At 51.9% G+C, this 21760-nt stretch overlaps 1 pseudogene; it reads right to left on the reverse strand.

Annotated features, from left to right (window-relative positions):
* Positions 1 to 273: 273 nt before the first annotated feature.
* The window catches only part of LOC101060324 (espin-like), a 31605-nt pseudogene continuing 10118 nt past the window's right edge, over positions 274 to 21760 (reverse strand).

Below are 21760 nucleotides of genomic sequence, written 5' to 3' on the forward strand. Positions count from 1 at the left end.
TCTACTAAAAATACAAAAAAAAAAAAAATTAGCCTGGCGTGGTGGCGGGCGCCGGTAGTCCCAGGTACTTGGGAGGCTGAGGCAGGAGAATGGCGTGAACCTGGGAGGTGGAGCTTGCAGTGAGTCAAGATGGTGCCACTGCACTCCAGCCTGGGAGACAGAGTGAGAGTCTGTCTCAAAAAAAAAAAAAAATTGTATTAAAATTATATATTTAAGGAATTACATATATATTTATATATATATATAATACATATCCTTAAATTATATATATTTAAGGAATACAACCTGAGGACTACATATACATATACATAATGAACTAATGCCTACTAGGTGAGGGGCTGCCTTGTGAGCAAACCCAAGGTCCCTGGCTTATGAAGCCTTTGTCTAGAAGGATGGAGGGATCAGCAAGTTGGGCACACAGCAGGTTCTGTCTTTGGTGTGGGCATCTGCCCACTCGGGTCTCTGGCAATACTAACCAGGCTTCACGATGGGTGAGGTGAGCTAGGAATGGGAAAGTGGATGACTTCAGATCCAGAGACTGCAGTTGTCACCTGAGGACCTGGCGTAGGCGTGGAGGGGTCTCCCACTCACTTGGCCCTGGGTCAATGCCCAAACATGCACAAGGACGGGACTCTCGGCCTCAATGCTTTAGGAGCCCCCAGTCTTCTAAAGAGGGTTTGTGGTGGGGAAGAATGTTCAACAAAACAGAAGAGTTATGGGTACTCTAGCTTGGCAACAGAGAATACTTCCTTGTGCTACTAAATGGCAATATTTGACAATTATGGATGACACAATTGAGCAACAGCTTTCACTGTTTAACAAGCAGGGTCTCTGGAACACTAGGTTAGTGCTGTCGGATGTTGACTGAAAAGTCAGTGGTTTGAGCCCATCCAGTCATATTAATGTTTCTAGCTGATGTGACCTTCCATCTGAAGAGTCTCTTCCTTGGACCAAATATCTCTTAAAGCTTCTCTTCTTCTTGTCTCTTGTCCATTCTCTAAGATGCCTCTTTGTTGCTTGGGGCAAAAAAAGTCCATTTTTAATCCACACCCAACAAACATCTACCCTTACGTATCCTGGTTTTTAGGGTTTTGAGTCTGTTGTTTGTTTTCTCAGCTTCTCATATTTGGAATACTGGAAATTCCTAAAGTGGAGAATGACAGAACATGAATCACACCTATGGTGAAGCCACAGGCCCTGGATGAAAAACCTAATCTGCCAGCGTTTGAAGTTAAACACATTAATCTTCTGTGCCTCCATTTCTATCTGTCCAATGGGCTAAATCAGAACACTTAGGTTGTCCAGTGTTTAAATGAGCAGTGCAGGAAAAGCCTGGAGCCAATGCCTGTCACGTAGTAATTGGTCAACACGCATGAGCTCCTATCAGCGCCATGGTCTCCAGCATTTCCATCAGGCTTTGATCTTTGAAATGTCCTTCTTGATATGAATGGATCATTCCTCAAACATTCTCTAACCGATGGCCATGAAATTGCTCCAATGTGTATTATTACAAATACAACTGCAGGGACCAGACTGACACATGTATCTGTCGTGCATCGCTTGTCTATTTCTCCGTAGACACCCGGAGATGGAATTGTCAGACCAAAGTATTTATACATGTTTGATTTTGCTAATTTCTGTCTAAATTACTGTGAAAAGAAAATATAACATGTCATACCTTTAACATTTTTTGAGAATTCTTTTTTTCTCCATCTTCTGGTCAAAACTGGGAAGTACTTGCCTACCATTTCCTCTGAACTCACTTTTGCCAACATTTGTGTAGTCATACAGTGGGATCACATTATATGCATGACATCAAACTCAAATCCTTAAATGAAAGCGATTAACATGACTGTGTAAAAATTTATCTTCAAAATACAATGAATACATATATACACACATACTTATATCGGAAAGGAATTATTTTATTTGGATACTTTATCAAAGTCATATATACTTGAAAATTTGTTTAGTAAAACAGCAGTCCCCTTGTGTACTCCCAGAGTTTCATCACATAGAAGCAATTATTTCGTTATTTATCTCCTTATGTCTAAATAGATATTATTACTTTTTGATTTTCAAGTTTAGGCACTACCTCTCCTTCACATACTTGCTCATCACCACCACCCCCAAACACGCCTCTCACCACCTTACCCTCCAACACGTTTGTGTCCTCGTTTGCTGGGTCAATTGCTACATTGTTATAACTTGTATATTTTATTCAGAGTTCAGTCACATTGGACATACATAGCAGGAATGAGAGGCCAGTATCTTCAGGGACTCTCTCTCAAGTGGATAAGCTTCAGAGATTTTTGTAATCTTTGGTCACTCTCCCCATCTTTTTCCTATTCCAGGTAAGTACTGGATCTGATGGGCCCAGCTCAGGTCAGGCACTCTCTCCTTGAGCAGTGGAGAGCGGGACATCTTCATGTGTAGTACCAGGAAGACACTGTCCAAAGAGGGACAGGTAGTTCTAAGACAGAAAAGTCTGTCTGGGGTACAGGTAGGCAAAACAAGGACACACACACAAAAATTAGTCTGTTCTGTGAGGGGAGCATGCAGTAGAGGGTGGATTCAGAGTGGGAGGGGAGAGTTTTGAGAGATATGGGCCATGGATATCACTCTGTGGGCCGGAGCCACACAAGACGGTTGGGGTCTCTCAGGGGCAGGGAGCTGAGGAGGATCTGCCCTCCCCAACCTGGGAGACTGGTGAGGGGACTGTCCTGGTCACCAGACAGAAATGGGGCCTGGGCCAGGGCAGTTCTGGTGGGAAAGAAAGAACAGGACATCTCCTTAAGGAAAGGTCCTGAGTCAGGTCTTGGCAGGGAGGGAGGTTACCTTGCCCATTGGCGGCTGAAGATGGTTGGCCAGATGAGGGCACTGAAATCCATGTCCTCTAAACTTGTAGTTCAGTAAAAGAATGACAGCAGTAAAGGGTCTTTAGGAAGAGGAGGTGGAAGACCTGATTTGGGTTGGGGGCTCCAAGAAGAATGTCTGCCTTGCTGTGCAGAAGCCTGCTACACAACCTCCCTGGTCCCCTTGCTCAGTCTCCTGGCCAGACCCCTGTGAGCCCTGGAAGTGCACAGTCAGCTTAGCCAAGGCATCTCCAGCCAGGACTCATCCCTGGGCATTTCTGTGGCCTTGGGTGCCCTGGCCTCCAGGCCCTGTCTTGCAGGCAATCGTCCTGCAAGCGAAGGGGGAAGGGAGGCTACTTGACAGTTAACTCTGAGTGGCTCCACAAGGTCCTGACTTAGCTCCTAGTCACTTGCAAGCCTATATACCCCCATCTCATCCCCCAAACGATGAAAAGAAACTTTGCAGGACTCATGCCAGACAAATAGGGTGGGACCATTCTGTAGAGCCAAGTTCTCAGGACATCAATAAGAGATGGAAACCACCTGCTGGAAGGTGCCACAGTGGGAACCTTGGGGTCAGGGAGCAGTCACTGAACTGTCAGGGTGAATCCTGGCTCCTGGCCCTCACACACCCTTTCTCCCCCTCCCTCCTTCTCTCCTCCCTCCTGTCTGCTCTTTCCCCTCTCTCTCCTGAATCCCTCAGGTACCTTCCCATGGGCCCTCACCCGTCCTTTTCAGAGGCTCCAAAGTGAGCCCTCAAAACACTTGGTAACCTTGGGCATTTCCAAAACTGGAGAGACTTGACCACAGCATTTTTATGAGCTAGGAAAGTCCTCCAGAGCTCTTGCCTAAATTTTTCTGCTGATGAGAAGAGAACAAGAGTTTCCATCTGATCTGGTCCTAAGGCAACTTCTCTTTGGAGCAGAGTCTGGGCAGGAAGAAGGGGGTTGCCCAGGGCCCCGGACTTGCCCCTCCCAGCTGCTCTGCTCCTCTCCCCTTCACTGCGGGAGGCTGGCCAGGGATCAGGAGCCTCTGTTCTCCACAGATGCTGGGATTCCAGGCTCAAATCTAAATATTGGCTGATTTAGGAGGCTAAGGGAGGCAATTCCCTGGAGGGAGGTGTCAGGATTTGGGACAAGAGCAGCATCTAGTTGTCATCCACAGAGACCCCAAGAACAGAAATCCACTGGTAGCCGGTTGGAGGGGATCCCATGAAAACAAGATGAAACGCGCGCATTAGTACCGGACCCAAGATCAGGAGATGAAAAACTGCACTGTCCTAAGGGATGAAAGAATTAGGGAATCCTGGAAGTAAAATTTTTCATATAGGTCATTTCTTCCAAAGAGACATAGGGCAATGGCCCAATGACGTGAACAAAAGAAAACTCGGGGTCTAGGATTGAGGGGAGGCAGCATTTTTAGTGGAGACCTGTGACCTGGAGGCCCAGGGTCACCCTGAGAGGGGAGGGGTCTTGCTGGTCGCTGGGTCCGGGACTCCAATTGCATACAGCCAGTGGCATGGAGGGTCTGTGACCACGATTGGGCAATTTCCCCCATTCTGCTTATGGAGCAATAGAGAGGAACCTCACTGGAATTATACAGAAAGGTACCAGTGAGACTTGAACTCTGATCACTGAATTCAGAGTCCAAAGTGCTCACCATGGAACCTCACACTAGCTTATAACTGGAGGTAACTGAGTTCATACTTAGCAGCCATAGTTCCCACACACCTATGTTAAGGCATTTCTTCTGATCCCTCAAGCAACACCAAAGAAGGTGGACCTGCGAGAGAGGAGTCATCCTCTTTCTTTCTCTCTGCCCTCTCCTTTGATCAACTTTTATCATTTCATTTGCACCTCAGAAAATGAGGCAAAATCCAGTTTGGGCTTAGGGCCAGAGAAGAGCCCCTGAGGCCTCCCTCTGGAAAACATACTCTCTCAGTTTACCAGAGTTTCCTGTACCAAGGGGAAATTTCCGCAAACAGTAGTGTTATATTCTTTTTGCCTTCCCTCTTTTCCCTTTGCCCAGGGAGGCCAGATGATTGTGAGAACAGGACTTGGGACTTCTTGGGTGTCTTGCCCCCTTCCTCCATGTGATAAATAATGGCTGACACCAAGCAAGTGGGATTGGGAGGCAGGGAATCTTTCATTTTCTTCTTCATATACTTCTATGCATTTGTTTGGTTGGTTTTGGCAAGATTTTCTCACCAGAAATGGAGATTTGTTGGATTTAAAATAAAAAGTAATCAGCCATGTTTTACATTTCTATAAAACACTCAAACCAGGCCATACTCCCCTGCTGTGCCTCAAAATCAACCATAAACTGTCGAGGTCAGGAGGCAGGGCCCTGACACTTAAGCACAGTGTGTTTCCTCAGAATTGGCCAAGTTGATGCCACTCCAATTTCTCAATATACCACAACCCATTAATTGCGGTTTTTTAAAGGGTACATGTATTTTTACCAAAACCACAGGGCTTCAGTGTTCTCAGCACACAGAAAGCCAATCATTGAGACATTGAGTATTGCTGAGGAAGAAGGCTTTAATCAGGTGCTGCAGCTGAGTAGACAGGAGATGAGTCTCAAATCTGTCTCCCTGATTGACTAAAGTTAGGGGTTTATATAGCGCAGAAGAAAAGTTAACTGTGTGTGGGAAAAGAGGAACTAGGGAGGGCTGAGGAAGCACTCGTGATGAGTGAGGGGACTGGCATCTCATTGTCTGGATGCTGTGATTGGCTGAGTTTCAGGTCTCTGATGCTTTTTGAGAGGCCTGAGAGTCCTTTCCTGAGGAAGGAACTCAGATAAAACAAATATAAGTTTGTTTTATAGAATGGCTTGACCACAGGAGTTTGAAACCAGCCTGGGCAATATGGTGAAACCCTGTCTCTACCAAAATACAAAAAGAAAAAGAGGGTTGCTTCTAAGATGGCTGAATAGGAACAGCTCCGGTCTACAGCTTCAGGTGAGATAGACACAGAAGACAGGTGATTTCTGCATTTCCAACTGAGGTACCTGGTTCATCTCACTGGGACTTGTTGGACAGTGGATGCAGCCCACGGAGGATGAGCCAAAGCAGGGTGGGGTGTCGCCTCACCCGGGAAGTGCAAGGGGTTGGGGGATTTCTTTTTCCTAGCCAAGGGAAGCTGTGAGTGACTGTACCTCGAGGAGCAGTACACCCCTGCCCAAATACTGTGTTTTCCACTGTCTTTGCAACCGACAGAACAGGAGATTCCCTCTTGTGCCTGGCTCGGCAGGTCCCATGCCCATGGAGCCTTGCCTGCTGCTAGCACAGCAGTCTGAGATCAACCTGTGACACTGGAGCATGGCAGGGGGAGGGGGTTCTGCCACTGCTGAGGCTTGAGTATGTGGTTCTATGGTCACAGTGTAAATAAAGTGGTAGGGAAGCTCGAACTGGGTAGAGCCCACTGCAGCTCAGCAAGGCCTACTGCCTCTAGATTCTACCTCTGGGGGCAGGGCATATCTGAATAAAAGGCAGCAGACAGCTTCTGCAGACTTAAACGTCCCTGCCTGACAGCAGGGACTGCTGTCATAATCATTATGATTATGAATCATAATCATGAAGACAATCTGTATTCCAGAATAGTAAGGGAACCTATTCCATCAGGGAGCCAACTGAAAACATCAAATCCCAGTTCACACCCCAGGGTGTGGTGTCATGCACCTGTAGTCCCAGCTACTTGGGAGGATTAGTAAGGAGGTTTGCTTGAATTCATGAGGTCAAGGCAGAAGTAAACCCTGATCATGCCACTGTACTCCAACCTGGGCGACAGTGAGACCTTGTCTCAGAAACAAACAAACAAACAAAAAACCCCACAAAACCAAACAACAACAAATTGTCACCTCATTCTGAAATGACAGTGGCAAACATCACTTTGCTATTTGAAAATTAAAAGAAGCCGGGCGCGGTGGCTCACGCCTGTAATCCCAGCACTTTGGGAGGCCGAGGTGGGCGGATCACAAGGTCAGGAGATCGAGACCATCCTGGCTAACAGAGTGAAACCCCAACTCTACTAAAAATACAAAAAATTAGCTGGACGTGGTGGCGGGTGCCTGTAATCCCAGCTACTGGGGAGGCTGAGGCAGGAGAATGGTGTGAACCCGGGAGGCGGAGCTTGCAGTGAGCCGAGATAGCCCCACTGCACTCCAGCCTGAGCGAAGAGCGCGAGACTCCGTCTCAAAAAAAAAAAAAAAAAAAAAAAAGGAAATTAAAAGAAAAACACTCCCTCTTGCTATCAACCTGCCCTCTTGCTCTAACTTGTCTGACCCATGGTTTAAAATGCCCAAAAGCTGAAGTACTCAAATTATAGTACACTTACCTGCTCTGCACCAGCATTTACTTTTGTCTGGAGGAGATCACCATGCATGGTCCTATAAATGTCTAACGGCATGGAATGATGAAGGGCAGTGTCTTTTAGGATAGTTGGATATATATATATATATGCGGAATGCTACATCACAAGGATAAGGATGTGAAAAGAACCAGTTTCTTTTGTAATCCTAAATGTTCTAGTCTGAGAATTAAAAGCCATTGTTCGAAGAAGGGTGCCCAGGGTCCAGCTGGTCGCCGAAAGCTTGCTCCGCAATACAGGCTAAGGACCAGCTTCTTTGGGAGAGAACAGATGAGGGAAGCAGGAGAGAAAAAAGGGAGAGGCAGACGTCACTTCCCCTTGCCGGCTCCAGCAGCGGGTTGGTCGGCTGAGCGGCAGAAAGGCAGACGGGGACTGGGAAAGGCACTGTCGGTGACATCACAGATAGGGCGACTTCTATGTAGATGAGCCAGCGCAGGGGCTGCTGCTTCACCACGAAGGAGTTCCCGTGCCGTGGGAGCGGGTTCAGGACCGCTGGTCGGACCTGAGAGTCCCAGCTGTGTGTCAGGGCTAGGAGTCCCATTGAGCAGTCTTGATCCTGTATTAGCCCCAGGAAATGAAATAGAAACAGGACCCTACGTTAAAAAGTTGCAGTGGAGATGTGGTGGCCACCAGGGGCTGGAACTGTGGGGTGACTGAGAGTATCCAAAGCCCTGTGGCCAACTTACTGGTGCTGAGTGTGCTGGTGAGCCTCTCTGTCAGCTGGCTTCCCTGGGCCAGTTGCTCCCGGAAGCTCTGTCCCAGGTAGTAGTCAATGTCATTGCTCCTTAGGAGATCCTCAAAAGATTTTACTGTATCTTTTGCATGCTGGGTGAGAAGATAACAAACACCTCTCCCTTCTCCTATTTTTTGCCGTAGGTAAGACAGTTCCCGGGCCTGATCCTGAATCAGGGAATCATATTTCCTAATGCAGGACAGAAGAGGAAAGGGTGGATGATAAGTTATGGGGCTTCTGTAGAGATTTCTATGAGAACATCTCTAAGGAACTCCCCCAAACTGAATTCTGGCACATAAGCCATAGGAGGCATTTAACAGTAAATTCTACCCTGATAAAGTATTGCACTAAAAAATTTAGTATGGGCCGGGCGTGGTGGCTCATGCCTATAATCCCAGCACTTTGGGAGGCTGAGGCAGGCAGATCACAAGGTCAAGAGTTCAAGACAAGCCTGGCCAATATGGTGAAACCCCTCCTCTACTAAAAACACACACAAAAATTAGCTGGGCATGGTGGCGCATGCCTGTAATCCCAGCTACTTGGGAGGCTGAGGGAGGAGAATTGCTTGAACCTGGGAGGTAGAGGTTGCAGTGAGCCGAGATGGCACCACTGCACTCCAGCCTGGGTGACAGAGTGAGACTCTGTATCAAAACAAAACAAAACAAAAATTTACCATGCCACTGTTCTTCAACTGTTATATATATGTTAATTATATGTCCCTAGATAAATTTTTTGGGAGCTGGGCCTCCAGCTGGGATACTCTCTGGATGAGACTCTTCAGGTCCTTTTTGGCCTGAAGTCCTGGAGAGTAGAAAGCCCCAGTGCCATCAGACAGCCACAACTCATCCTCATCAGTGACACTATGAGGTGAAGACCCCTCCAGGGTGTCAGGAGCTCTCAGCTTCCAGGGTCTTTCCAGACTAGAAGAATAATCACTTGTAACTGAGAGGGACTGGACCCGGCTCTTGAAGTTTTGAATGACCTTGTTGGCATTCTGCAGCTGGGCCTTCAGATCTTTGATGTCCTTTCATAGGACCCAGATGTTTTCTGACTTTCCATATACCCAGAACTCTTCCTGCTTCCCTAGTTCATTCTCCAAGGGCTTCCTCTCAGAGGAACTAGCCAGCGTTCCGCCCCGGCGCCCCTGCTCAGAGCACAGCCCCTCCATCAGGACCATTTCCTTGCGGCTGTTGTGCTCCTCACGCTCTGAAAAAAGACAAAGATGTCTTCCTAATTAAAAGTTGGATGTGCTGTTGTGGCCACTGCCTTTGAGAGGAGGCAGGTTTGGTCATGAGGACAATAATTACTAGGGAAAAAGGTGAAGTCGTACTTTATTCAACCCTGACACTGTGCTAGGCATTCAAATACAGTATTTCTTATCCTCCTTATACCCATAAGTTAGGTTTCACCACTCTCTATTTTACTGACTGGGGAAACCAAAACTTAAAGAGAGGTAGTAAACCAGCTTGTTCTAGATCACTCAAACTAGCACATGGCAGAGCCTGAATTCAAATCCTCCAACGTCCTGTGTTCATTCCACACACACTGATGTTTCTCAAGACATTAACATGCCCTTATCTAGTTAGGATAGCCACAAGAATGTAGGACAAGCTATTTCTGCATGCTGCAAGTTTAATGCTCTCTAAAGTTTACTATAATTTAAAAGTTTATTGGGTTACCACTGTGTGAAAAATAGGCATAGGAAAATAAGACTTCGAATAAATATATCAGCATGTTAACATCAGTGTATTGGGGCAGTGGTAGTCAGAATGAGAACTAATCCACAGCATTTTACCTGATGCCAGACACTGTTCTAAAGCATTTTATAAGAATTTACTCATTTAATTCACATTAGTACCTGATGGGGTAGGTAGTTCCTTTATTACTATTTTAACATATGAAGAAACTGGGGCATAGGAAAGCTTACAAATTGGGATTTGAACCAACCAGTCTGGCCCCAGGATCTTTTCTCTTAACTGCCACACTACACTTCCTCAAGAATGAGAGAGACTGTGTTTTTCTTCTCTTCTGGTTTTCAATGTGGTGGGTGGCCCTATGGTTGTAGTCCTTTTATAATGCAAAACAAAATTATTTTTAACTTACAGTTTGCATGTTTCCAAAACCTCATGTGGTCTCTAAGTAGGCCTTAGTATTTCTATAATAATCAGTTGGCTAGAACTTTATATTATTATTATTATTATTATTATTATTAGCAGTGTGCCACAAACTAATTGTAGAAATTCAAACTTATACGCAGCCTCATTTTGGGTAAGAGTTCTCCTATTAACCTCCTGTCCTCCTCTTCCCCACTACTTGTCAGGTGTGGAATTGGCCAACAGCACCCAAATGTGACAGCTGACTCCAGGGAGGGAAGGTGAGCCCCACACCCTGTGCTCTTACCGGGACTGGTGGTTTCCTCCTGTTCAGCCTCATTCTTGCTTTGGCCACAAGTCTCGTGGCCCAGGTCCTGGAGGTCCACCTGGACCTGTTTACTGTCCTGCTTCAGCAAGGGTTCACCTGCGTGGGAAGAGACAGCAGGTGTTACAGAATGTCTGAATTTCCCACATATGCCCTCAGCCTCAATGGCACATACCCTAACCTTGTGGGGCAGGGAGGGCAGATCCACAGTACGAGAGAAGCTTCTTTGAACTGGTGGGAGAAGAGACCACCAGCTCCAGGAAGCAGAATTTCTTTCCACAGGAGGAGCCTGCATTTGCCATTGATAATCTCCCCTTCAGATAACCTAGGCCTTAGTTGGGACAAGGTATCTGTAAGTCAGGGATTGTGTACTCTCATCTCTAGCAGCCCCATTGAAGCTGGCAAGTGCTTTATCAGCAGGGGTTCAATAAATGTTGAATGGAGCTGAACTAATTTAGAGTCCCAAGACACCTAGACCTGCACTGTCCAATAAGGTAGTTAGTAGCCACATATGGCCACTTTATACTAAATTAACTAAAATTAAATAAAACCAAATGTCCAAGTTGCACTAGCCACACTTCATGTGCTCAATAACCACATTATGTCTGTATAGAACATACAGAGCTTATAAGACGTACAGGCTAGTTCTTTACTAGTAAGTCATAGTTACCTACTAAGTATAACTCTCTATTTCTCCAGCTCGTTCGCCTGAGCAAAGACAGTGGCTTCTGATAGCAGCAGCTTCTCCTGGAGATCTTGATAGCGTTGTTTGCATTGTGACAGCTGGGAGCGCGGGTGCTGGGTGGACCCTGGTGGGCTAAATGCTGATTGGGCCCAGTGTCACAAGGCTGGGACTGGTTCTCCAACTGTGAAAGGGGCCAAGACAAGGATCAGGACAGTCCGAGGCCACCCCCATGCAGTGATGACCATGGCCCGTTGTGAACCCCGTGGACTTTACTCAAGTCTGTCACAGCACTTCTCATGCCTTTTGGCAGTGACTTGCTTTCCGGATGGAGCTCCTGGAGTGCTGGGATAATGTTTTCCTCATATCTGTATCCACAGCACACAGCACAGCGCCAATCAAGTCTACAGAGGAGCTCTTAGGAAACGTTTTCTCAGTGGTCAACAAGAGAAGGGGTGGAACCCTCCACTCATCTCCCCTCACATTCTGTGCCATCGATTCTCTCAGAATCCCCTGTATTCCCCATTTTACTGAATCTTCAGCATGGCTCCTCCCCTAAACAGGATCCCAATAACCCATCTGAGGTCCAGGAACAGACACCTGTGATGAGCTGTGACCAAAAAAAAAAAAAAAATGGCATTGATAAGGAAGGGATGTCATTACATACTACTTGTCTGGGCTGCCTCATAACCTGATGCATCCCTATGTTACAGCAGTTACCCCCTCCTATTAAAATTACCTGTTTATGTGCCATCTTTCCTTACCATATTAAGTATCTCAAGGGCAGCCATTGGTTTTATTGCCCCATGCCAATGCCTAGTGTGTTATCTGAAAAATTAAGTACCCAAGAAATATTCATGTTGTAAAAGGCTTTCTAAAGGCTGAATGTAGGCAGAATATTATTCCTGTTGTTTGTGGTACAAAGAGACCTTTCTCTTGGTACCTCTTGATTCACATGGGAGAACGTTTTAAAGTAAACACTGTCATCTCGAGCCCTTCTCCAGTGGTTTTTCATTCCATCTAAGCCTACATTGACTTGGTGGGCATCCACTGTGAAGGTAGCCCCAAGGTCAAGGCTCTGGGGTCTGGGGCAAGGCCTCACAGTCACATTCCCCTCCTCTTGGTGTTGGTGCTTCCCAGGAGAACCAACCAGTTCTGTGTTTATTCTGTCGATGGTGCTGGTCAGATGCACAAGGAGCTCTGGAGTAAGTTTACTATTCCCTTCTTTGCTACTCAGCACAAGTTGTTCTTGAGGAGGTTGATGATATTGTGGGCATTCTTCAGTTTTCCCTGGAGCTTTCTGAACTCAGCCTGAAGACTACTCTCACTCAGACCCTCTTTGGCAACCACAGTCTCAACCACCACCTTGCCCTTCTCCTTGTCTTCCTCAATCTCCCATCCCTCAGACATTTCTGCTCTTTCAGCTCTGCATTCTCAAGGCAAAGATGGGTTCTGGGTCTCCACAGTTGCCAGACTTTTCTCCAAAGCCACCTTGAGGAACTAAAAGAAAATCATGCTTTGAAGAAGTTAGGCCATTAAAGAGGGCCCAAGAGAAACATGAGATTGCAAAGGTAGTTTTTGATGAGAACAAAAACAAACAAAAAAAGCAGATCTAAAATGAACTCCCTACCCAGAACCTCCTTAGTCAGGCAATAAGAGCAATAAGATCTCAAGACTAAGTTTTATTATTATTATTATTATTATTATTATTATTTGAGACAGGGTCTCGCTCTGTTGCCGGGGTGGAGCGCAGTGGTGAGATCATGGCTCACTGCAGCCACGACCTCCTGGGCTCACGTAATCCTCCCACCTCAGCCTCCCAAGTAGCTGGAACCACAGGTGTGTGCCACTACACCCAGCTAATTTTTTTTTTTTAATCGAGACGGAGTCTCGCTCTGTCACCCAGGCTGGAGTGCAGTGGCACGATCTCGGCTCACTGCAACCTCTGCCTCCCAGGTTCAAGCGATTTTCCTGCCTCAGCCTTCTGAGTAGCTGGGATTATAGGAGCGTGCCACCATGCCCAGCTAATTTTTGTAGTTTTAGTAGAGACGGGGTTTCACCATGTTGGTCAGGCTGGTCTTGAACTCCTGACCTCAGGTGATCATTCTGCCTCAGCCTCCCAAAGTGCTGGGATTACAGGCGTGAGCCACTGAGCCCGGCCCACCCAGCTAATTTTTTTTTTTTTTGAAATGGAGTCTCACTCTGTTGCCCAGGCTGGAGTACAAAATGGCGTGATCCCGGCTAACTGCAACCTCCGCTTCCCAGATTCAAGTGATTCTCCTGCCTCAGCCTCCCGAGTAGCTGGGATTACAGGCATGTGCCATCACACCCACCTAATTTTTATATTTTTAGTAGAGACGGGGTTTCACCATGTTGGCCAGGCTGGTCTTGAACTCCTGACCTCAGGTGATCTACCCGCTTCAGCCTCCCAAAGTGCTGGGATTACAGGTATGATCCACTGTGCGCAGCCCCGTGCAGCTAATTAAAAAAAATTTTTTTTCGTAGGCCTGGTGTGAAGGCTCATGCCTGTAATCCCAGCACTTTGGGAGGCTGAGGCGGGTGGATCACCTGAGGTCAGGAGTTCGAGACCAGCATGACCAACATGGCAAAACCCGGCCTCTACTAAAAATACAAAAATTAGCCAGGCGTGGTGGCAGGCGCCTGTAATCCCAACTACCTGGGAGGCTGAGGCAGGAGAATCACTTGAACCCAGGAGGTAGAGGTTGCAGTGAGCCAAGATTGTGCCATTGCACTCCAGCCTGGGCAACAAGAGCAAAACTCTGTCTCAAAAAAAAAAAAAAAAAGGCCAGGCTTGATGGCTCATGCCTATAATCCCACAACTTTGGGAGGCCGAGGCGGGTGGATCACTTCAGGTCAGGAGTTTGAGACCAGTTTGGCCAACATGGTGAAACCCATCTCTACTAAAAATACAAAATTAGCTGGGTGCGGTGGCACATGCTTGTAATCCCAGCTACTTGGGAGGCTGAGGCAGGAGAATCACTTGAACCCAGGAGGCAGAGGTTGCATGAGCCCAGATCGCCACTGCACTCCAGACTGGGTGACAAGAGTGAAACCCCATCTCAAAAAAAGAAAAAAAAAATTTTTTTTTTTTTTCAGAATGAGGTCTCACTGCATTGCCCAGGCTGGTCTCAAACTTCTGGACTCAAGTGGTCCCCCTGCCTTGGCCTCTCAAAGTGCTGGGATTACATGTGTAAGCCACCATGCCTGGCCAAAGACTTACTTTTACAGGAGGAGTATAAAACATCTCATTAGTAATTTTCATAATTGATTATGTGTCGAAATAATATTTTTGATATTTTGTGTCAAGTAACACTACTAAAATTAAGCTCACCTATATCCTTCTACATTTTCACTGTGGCTACTAGAAAATTTTAAATTACATCTGTGGCTCTCATTACATTTCTATTGGACAGCACTGGGCTGGGTGAGATGACTAGGGGCAGAAAGTACATTCTGAGGGCCAGACAATCAAGGTGATTGATACTGGGGTTAGGTTAACTGAAGGGTAGAAAAGGCCAGGTTAATAGGAGGCAGGGACTGAGTAACCGGGAACAAAGTTATCAGAGCATGAGAGAGAGATTCTGGGGGTCAGCCGTCTGGGATATTATAGGGAGGAAGGAGGCTGTGCTACAAGGGCCAAGAGACAGGAGGATGCACTCAAGTTGGCCTGGATGAAGGGACGACCCTCTGCGACTTGGGTGGGGGTAAGGGTGGCAGGCTGGGGCCAGCCCTGCACTCACCGCTTCTGCTTCCTAGAAGGAGAAACAGTGTCACTTGGTACCTCCACCTCAGGGGCGCAGTCAAGACACGCTGCCAGGCCAGCCTCTGCCTGACCGCCGGCTCACCTCTCTTCTTCCAGCTTCTTCCGCAGGAGGTCCCACCTCCAGGCGGGCATGCTGGCCAGCCGGGCCTCCTCCTCCTCCTGAAACACAACCACAAAGCTTCAGAGCCTGCAGGGGCTGGGAGATAGGGGGCACCCTCAACCTGGGGACCTGAAGGAGTCAGGGTCACAGGAAGTGACCCTTTGGATGCATTTCTGTGGGACAAGTGGATGGAGGTGCCTGGTCACACCCCCTCAGAGCTGGCCTCCTTTCCCCTAGTAACCCAGACCCTTGTGTCCTACAGGAGGCACCAGAGAGATCAGAGCTGAGTGGGACAGAAGCAGAGAAAAAGTAGCCGGGACCCAGAGGTCCTGAGCCTGATTCCCCACAGGGGCAGGTGGCCAATGGCCACAGGTCCAAGATCTCTGGGCAGACGCAGATGCGGGCCCCCACCCAGCCTCTTGGCTCAGGGAGATTCAGGCTGCCCCTGGCTCCCCTGAGAAGGACCTTCAGCCCATGGTTGCCCTCTTCCCAACAGAGTGGATACGTGCTCTACAATCGTGGGGCTGCAATGACATCAGGGGCAGGTGTGGTGTCCAACATAGGCAGTTTACAGCAAAGAGTTTTATTTCCTGAATATTACAGAGGAGAAAGGGTCTGTACACCGCACACTTCACACAGAACACTGCACACGTGGCTCCCTTGACCTCAGCCAAGGAGGTAGCTGTGAACTCCAGTGGAAAACCAGAGAGCAGGCCACACTGCCCCAGGGAGGAGCCGCAGCCCCTCACTCAGAGGGGCTTCTTCTGCTGCCTGGCTCCACACAGAGCTCAGCAAGACCACGGGGCCAGAGGGGGACACCTGGTTTGTTCTGTGCCTGCCCTGCCTATCCGACCAACGCCCCACACAGCCTGCTCACGATGGGACCTCAGAGGCTGAGGCAGCCTGGTCCTGGGCCCTCCGGGCTGCTCAAGGCCACAGTCCTGGGTTCTTCCCGCTGCTTCACGCCTCTGGAGGGCGTCAGACAGGCGTCCAGGCCCACGTTAAGACGCTCGAGGGTGAACTGCGAATTCCGAATTCCGCTGCTCAGATGTCAAACAGCTCTGCCTCCTTCTCCTTCCAGAAGGAGAAGCTGCGGTCGATGTAGCGGCAGATGTCCTCGTTGCTGAATTCGCCCATCTCAGACACTAGTTCCAAAGGGTCTTCGGCGGGGGCTTCGGAACCCGGAGAGTCTGAGATCCGGGGAAGCGCGGCGGGCGGGCGGGCGGGCGGGGGCGGCGGCTGCGGCACAGGGGCCAGGGCCTCGCGCTGCCCCTCGGGCGGGTCCCCCTTCTGAACCGGAGCGGCCTCTTCGGTCCGCTCCTGTTCTTTCCCCTTCTCTTCCTTTTTCTTCGCCTGTTCTTCGGGGGCCGGCCCAGCCTCCAGGCCGTTTCCGAAGAACCTGTGCCTGAGGTCCTCGAAGCCGTCGCTCCAGCCGCGCCGGCCGGCCTCCACCTCCTCCAGCACCACGCGGTGGAAGAGGCGGATGCGCTCCCACGGGTGGCTGTCCAGCCGGTGGAACATCTCGTAGCACAGTAGGTGGCGGAACTTGCGATCCTCGCGGCTCAGGCCCATCTCCGGTAGCTGGAAGTAGCCGAGCATGAAGAGGTCGAGCGTGAGGCTTTCGTAGCGCGGGGGTGCGCCGCCGTCTAGGGGCGACAGGAAGTGCTGGGGCCAGTACACGCCGTGCGCGCCAGGCCCGGGCTTGGCGGCACGTGCCGCCGCAGGCTCCGCCAGTGGTGCAGCAGCTTGCCCACTGCCTGCCGCTGCCTCAGCAGCTGCCGCAGCCGTTCGTTGGGGCTGTGGGCCTCGCCCTTGCTCACCGGCAGCCGGGGGGCGTCCGTGGCCTCCAGCTCCGGCCAGCACGGGCGGCCGTCACGCCAGGGAGCAGTCTGCCTAGGCGCGCCTGGTCCGCGGAAGGCCCGGTCCGAGGAAGGCCCAGAGGCGCCAGTGCTCCAGGAAGAGGTAAACGATGCGCTCCTTGCGCAGGTCGAGGTAGTCCTGGACGCCGCGCAGTTCCGTGCAGAGGGGCGGCCGGCGCGCCAGCTGCTCGGGCTCAGGTAGCGCCGCCTGGCAATCCTGTGCCTCAGGCGGGCCCAGGGTGTCCAGGGGCTCCCAGTCGGCCAGCGGGCCGTGGGCGGCGGCGGCGCTGGGCTGGCCAGAGCCGGCCGCCACGTAGTCCTCCTACAGGATGGGCTCGCGGACCGGGGCGCCAGCGGACTGCGGGGGCTTGCGGCGCGGACAGCGCGGGGGCGCCGCGTCCAGTGCGCGCAGCTCGTAGGTGGCGCGGTGATGCTGCACGGAGGCGCCGCACTCGAGGATCTCGCGCGCCACAGCCTCGCGGCACCAGTTGAGCCAGTGCGAGCGGCCCAGGCAAAGCGGCCCCGGCAGTCAGGGCGCCTCAGGCAGCGGCGCCAGCGGCTGGCCCGTGTCAGCGGTCGGCAGCTCCGCCAGGTGCGCAGGCCGGCAGCCCAGCGCGGCTAGCAGCGTGGCCATGCTCTTGAGCAGCGTGGAGATCTTGCTGCACCAGGCGGGCAGGCTGGCGGCGCGGCCATGCATTCGGCGCGGGTCGACGGTGAAGCGCGGCTCCACAGGGCGACGGAGATGGGCAGCAGCTGCTCAGCTCCAGTTGCTCCAGGCGCGCCTCCAGCTTCTGCGCCTTGTGCAGCACCTGCAGGTTCTCGATTGCTGCTCGATGCGGAGGATGTCGGCCTCGGTCATGAGCTCGCCAAAGGGCCAGAGGATGGCGTTGTGCTCGCGGGAGTACCTCCAGCCCTCGCGGGGGTACCTCCAGCCCTCGCGGGGGTAGCAGCACGAGCTGGCGGCCGTCAGCTAAGGCGGGGAAGACAAGAGAGGGGAGGGAGGCGCGTCTCCCTCTGGCCCAGCTCCCGCCGTGGCGCCAGGAACCTTTTGCATGTCCTGGGTGGTGTAATGGCTCCGCGGGGCTGCGTCTGCAGGGAGGGACCGCGTCTGGCCGGCGGGGGGTGACGCTGGGGTGAGGCTTCGGCCTGAGCCGCCGCTCCAGGCTCTGGGCAGTGTCCACTTTGGTCGCTGGCGGGGGGCACGGCCGGTTGCTGCTCGCTGCTGCGGCGGCAAGAACAGGCCAGCAGACGGGGTCTCCATGCCTGGCTTGTTCGCTCATTACACCACCCAAGGAACTTGCCAAAGGCCTTGAAGCTGAGAGGCGCGGTGGCCCGCCCCAACCCATCCGAGGGCGGCTATTGTGAGGCCTCTCCTCCCAGACTCATGACCCCTTCTCCAGCTCCCCTGTGGCCCAAGCCTTCCGCTCCCTGTGGTCAATGTTTTATGTGCAGAATGAGAGGCCACTCCTCTCTTAAAGAGGCTGCAGCTGCAGCTTCCACTGAGCTGCCCACCCTTCCCCTCCCTTCGTCGTGCTGGACAGCTGGGCACCGTAATATTCTCATTTGCTCACTTTTCTCCACCTCTGATGTCCAGTTTTCCCCCCTGGGCCTGCCATCGCCTCCACAGAGGTCCCTGATTCATCTTGACCCTATGGGATCCACTCCCCACATACAATTAGGAAGCAGCCTCTTCCCTGCTTAACACTCCCCGCACCCGGCTCCCCAGTGCTCCAGGAGAAAGTCCGTTCTCTTCTGGGCCTCTGGCCAGGTCTTGGTAACCTGGCCCCCACTGAGGTCTCTCCAGCTCAGCGACCCCCTTCCTCCAGGACAGTCAGGGCCACATCCACTCTCACTTCCAGACTGCCCTGTCCCACCTGCGGCTCTTCAGCCCCCTCTCCGCCTGGCCACCCCTCACTCGTCTTCCAAGTGTTACCTTAGACATCACCTCCTCCTTCCCTAACACACCCCCCAGCCCACGTATAAGGTGGCCGGTTAGGGCTGCCCCAGTCCCCTGCGTTCCCCATTGCAGCTGGCTGTGTTGCATCAGCCCAGGTACTTCTCTCCACTGCCACCCACTCTCTCACCCTGCCCCATTTTGTGTGCTTGGTGACTCGCACACATGTCCGCAGCCACCTTAGAGCAGGCCTTGATATGTTCACCATGAATCCCCAGAGGCTACAAGCGTGTGGGGCACATAAATGGCACTCGGGGGCCAGGCGTGGTGGCTCACGCCTGTAATCCCAGCACTTTGGGAGGCCGAGGCGGGCAGATCACTTGAGGCCAGGAGTTCAAGACCAGCCTGGCCAACATGGTGAAACCCCATCTCTACTAAGAATACAAAAATTAGCCGGGCATGGTTGGCGGGCATCTGTAGTCCCAGCTACTCGGGAGGCTGAGGCGGGAGAATCACTTGAACCCAGGAGGTGGAGGTTGCAGTGAGTCAAGATCGCACCACTGTACTCCAGCCTCAGTGACAGAGTGAGACCCTGTCTCAAAAAAATAAAAAATAATAAAAATAAATGGCATTCGGGGAATAGTTTTTGGATGAATGGAAGGCAACTCATCCTGCCAGCTGGTGCTGATCAGCTCACCTTACAGAGAAGGAAACTGAGGCTGGATGAGGCTCAGTATCGGCAGCTGGAAGGCGGCAGCGCAGCAATGGAGCCCAGGTCCCTAAGACTGAGACCAAAGCTCTCTTGGCTACTCAGTGTGGTCCTTGGACCAGTGTCATCAGCAGCCTCACCCAGGAGCTGGCTAGAAATGCAGAACCTCAGCCCTGCCCAGACCTCCTGAATCCGAACAGGCCTTTTAACCAGATCCCAGGTGCTGGGCAGGTGAAGGAGAGTCTGAGAAAGGCTGCTGTCTCACTCCAAGGACAAGCTGCTGGGGGTGTGTGTGGAGACTGGGACAAGCCCCAAACGGGGTCGTGCCACCCTGATTTCCCTAAAGAAGATGGCCGGGCATGGTGGCTCATGCCTGTAATCCCAGCCCTGGCCAACATGGTGAAACCCCGTCTCTAATAAAAATACAAAAAAATTAGCTGGGCGTGGTGGCATGCGCCTGTAATCCCAGCTACCTGAGAGGCTGAGGCAGGAGAATCATTTGAACCCAGGAGACAAAGGTTGCAGTGAGCCGAGATCATGCCACTGCACTCCAGCCTGGGCGACAGAGCAAGCCTCTGTCTCACGAAAAAGAAAAAAAGAAAAAGAAAGAAAGAAAGAAAATAGGAGGTCCCGAGGTTGGTGTTGGGGGTGGCGTGGGGGATGGGCTGTGCATCCAGATGCAGACCCCAGGGCTCCCTGGGCACCCCGCCCCACCCACTTTCCACCTCTGCTCCTCCTCCTCCTACATCTTCAGCTGCATCTTGCCCACCATCACCTGGCGCTTCCACTCGGGCTTGGGACGGCCCTGCTCATCGTGCGTGGGGATGAGCGCCTCCACGTCCAGCTGCACCCCCGGCGCAGGAGTAGTGGGCGGCACCGGAACCAAGCTTCCGTTGAGCAGCAGCTGAAACCCCGCAGCTGGCGGTGTGGGGCTCTGGACTGGTAACAGTGCAGGTGACACAGACGGCAGCGGCGAATCGGGCTGCAGGGAGAAGCGGTGGGGCTGAGCGCCTGGTGGCCTAGGGCCAGGGAAGCCGGGTCGCAGGCTCCTGCTGGGCCCGCCTACCTGGAAGGCCGGCTGCCTGCTGCCTGAGAACACTGTGGTCAGCCCCTTGCTCTGTGGCGTCGGCTTCAGGCTCTTGCCTGCCTTAATCTCAGCCAGTAGCTCTGAGTTGTCGCCCATCGGGAACATCACATTGAAAGACTTGGTGCCTATGCAGAGGCAGGAGATGAGGCACTGGCCAGGGTGGGGCTGCATCCCTGCCACCCCTCACCTGCCCCTCTGCAGCCCCCTTCCCAACCCAAGATTGGATGGGTGCCCATCCTCGGGGCCAGCGGGCAGCTCTCCAGATCCCAGGTCCCGCAGGCAGCTTTCAGGGCCCCCAGAGGCAGGCCCTTGGTTCCCCGACTGTGGCAACCCCACCATCCTCCCCCACCCTACTCACGGGATGGAGGGCCCCTGCCTGGAGACCCCTGGGAGTTCATGGTGGCTCTTGGGCATATATTCCTGCCCAGCCACTGACTGCCCAGCCCCAAAACACTACCTGGAATCAGCCACCGGACCTTTGTCCCAGGTTTCCTGGCTCAGCCCGGCTGGGTGGAGCCTCCCTCTGGCCCTCTCCCTATATCAGCAAAGCCTCAGTGACCCTTGAGCTGAGTCAATTGGGGCCTCCATGGACATGCAGAGTCCAGACCCCGGAGTGCCAGTACCACCTGCTCCCCTCCCTCGCCACCACACCCACAGACAGACGCACAAGCAGACACATTGGTTGCAAGCCGGGAGCACATTTATGGCAAAGCACGGCTCAGCTCTAGGGGAAAGCAGAGCCCTTACTAAGGCCACAGGAGGCACCCAGGAAGAAGGGCAGGCAGGTAATATGCAAACACCCAGGGCAGAGGGTGCATTTTCTGGCTTAGCCGGAGGAGGCGAATGGAGATTTGGAGAGATAGGTCTCTTGAGCCCCGATGAAGGGGTCAGGTCTGGGAGGGAGGAATAAAATGGGCCGACAGCTCTTGGATTCCCAGGCTGGGGATCCCAGAGTGCAGTCACCGGGAGGAGAAGAGTAGGAGAAAGGGAAAATCGGTGTGGCTTATTCATTTATTTAGGCAAAACCATCAGCCAGGCGCAGAATGCTTGGGTGCATATGTGGGTATGAGGGTAGGTATGAGGTACAAGGCCCCACCCATGCATCGAGGTTCTCTCGCCTGCCAGCCCCTGCCCCTGCCCTTTCCTCAAGGCTGGGCCCCTCCTCCCGTGCTTTTCCTGCCTCTTCCCCCCACCCCGCGCCTCAGCCTCAGCCAGGAGCCGCGCACGCAGCTACTCACTCTTCCTGTGCCTCAGGACTCTCACTTCTAGGGA

Source organism: Homo sapiens (assembly GCF_000001405.40).
Source record: "Homo sapiens chromosome 1 unlocalized genomic scaffold, GRCh38.p14 Primary Assembly HSCHR1_CTG9_UNLOCALIZED".
Taxonomy (NCBI): Eukaryota; Metazoa; Chordata; class Mammalia; order Primates; family Hominidae; genus Homo; species Homo sapiens.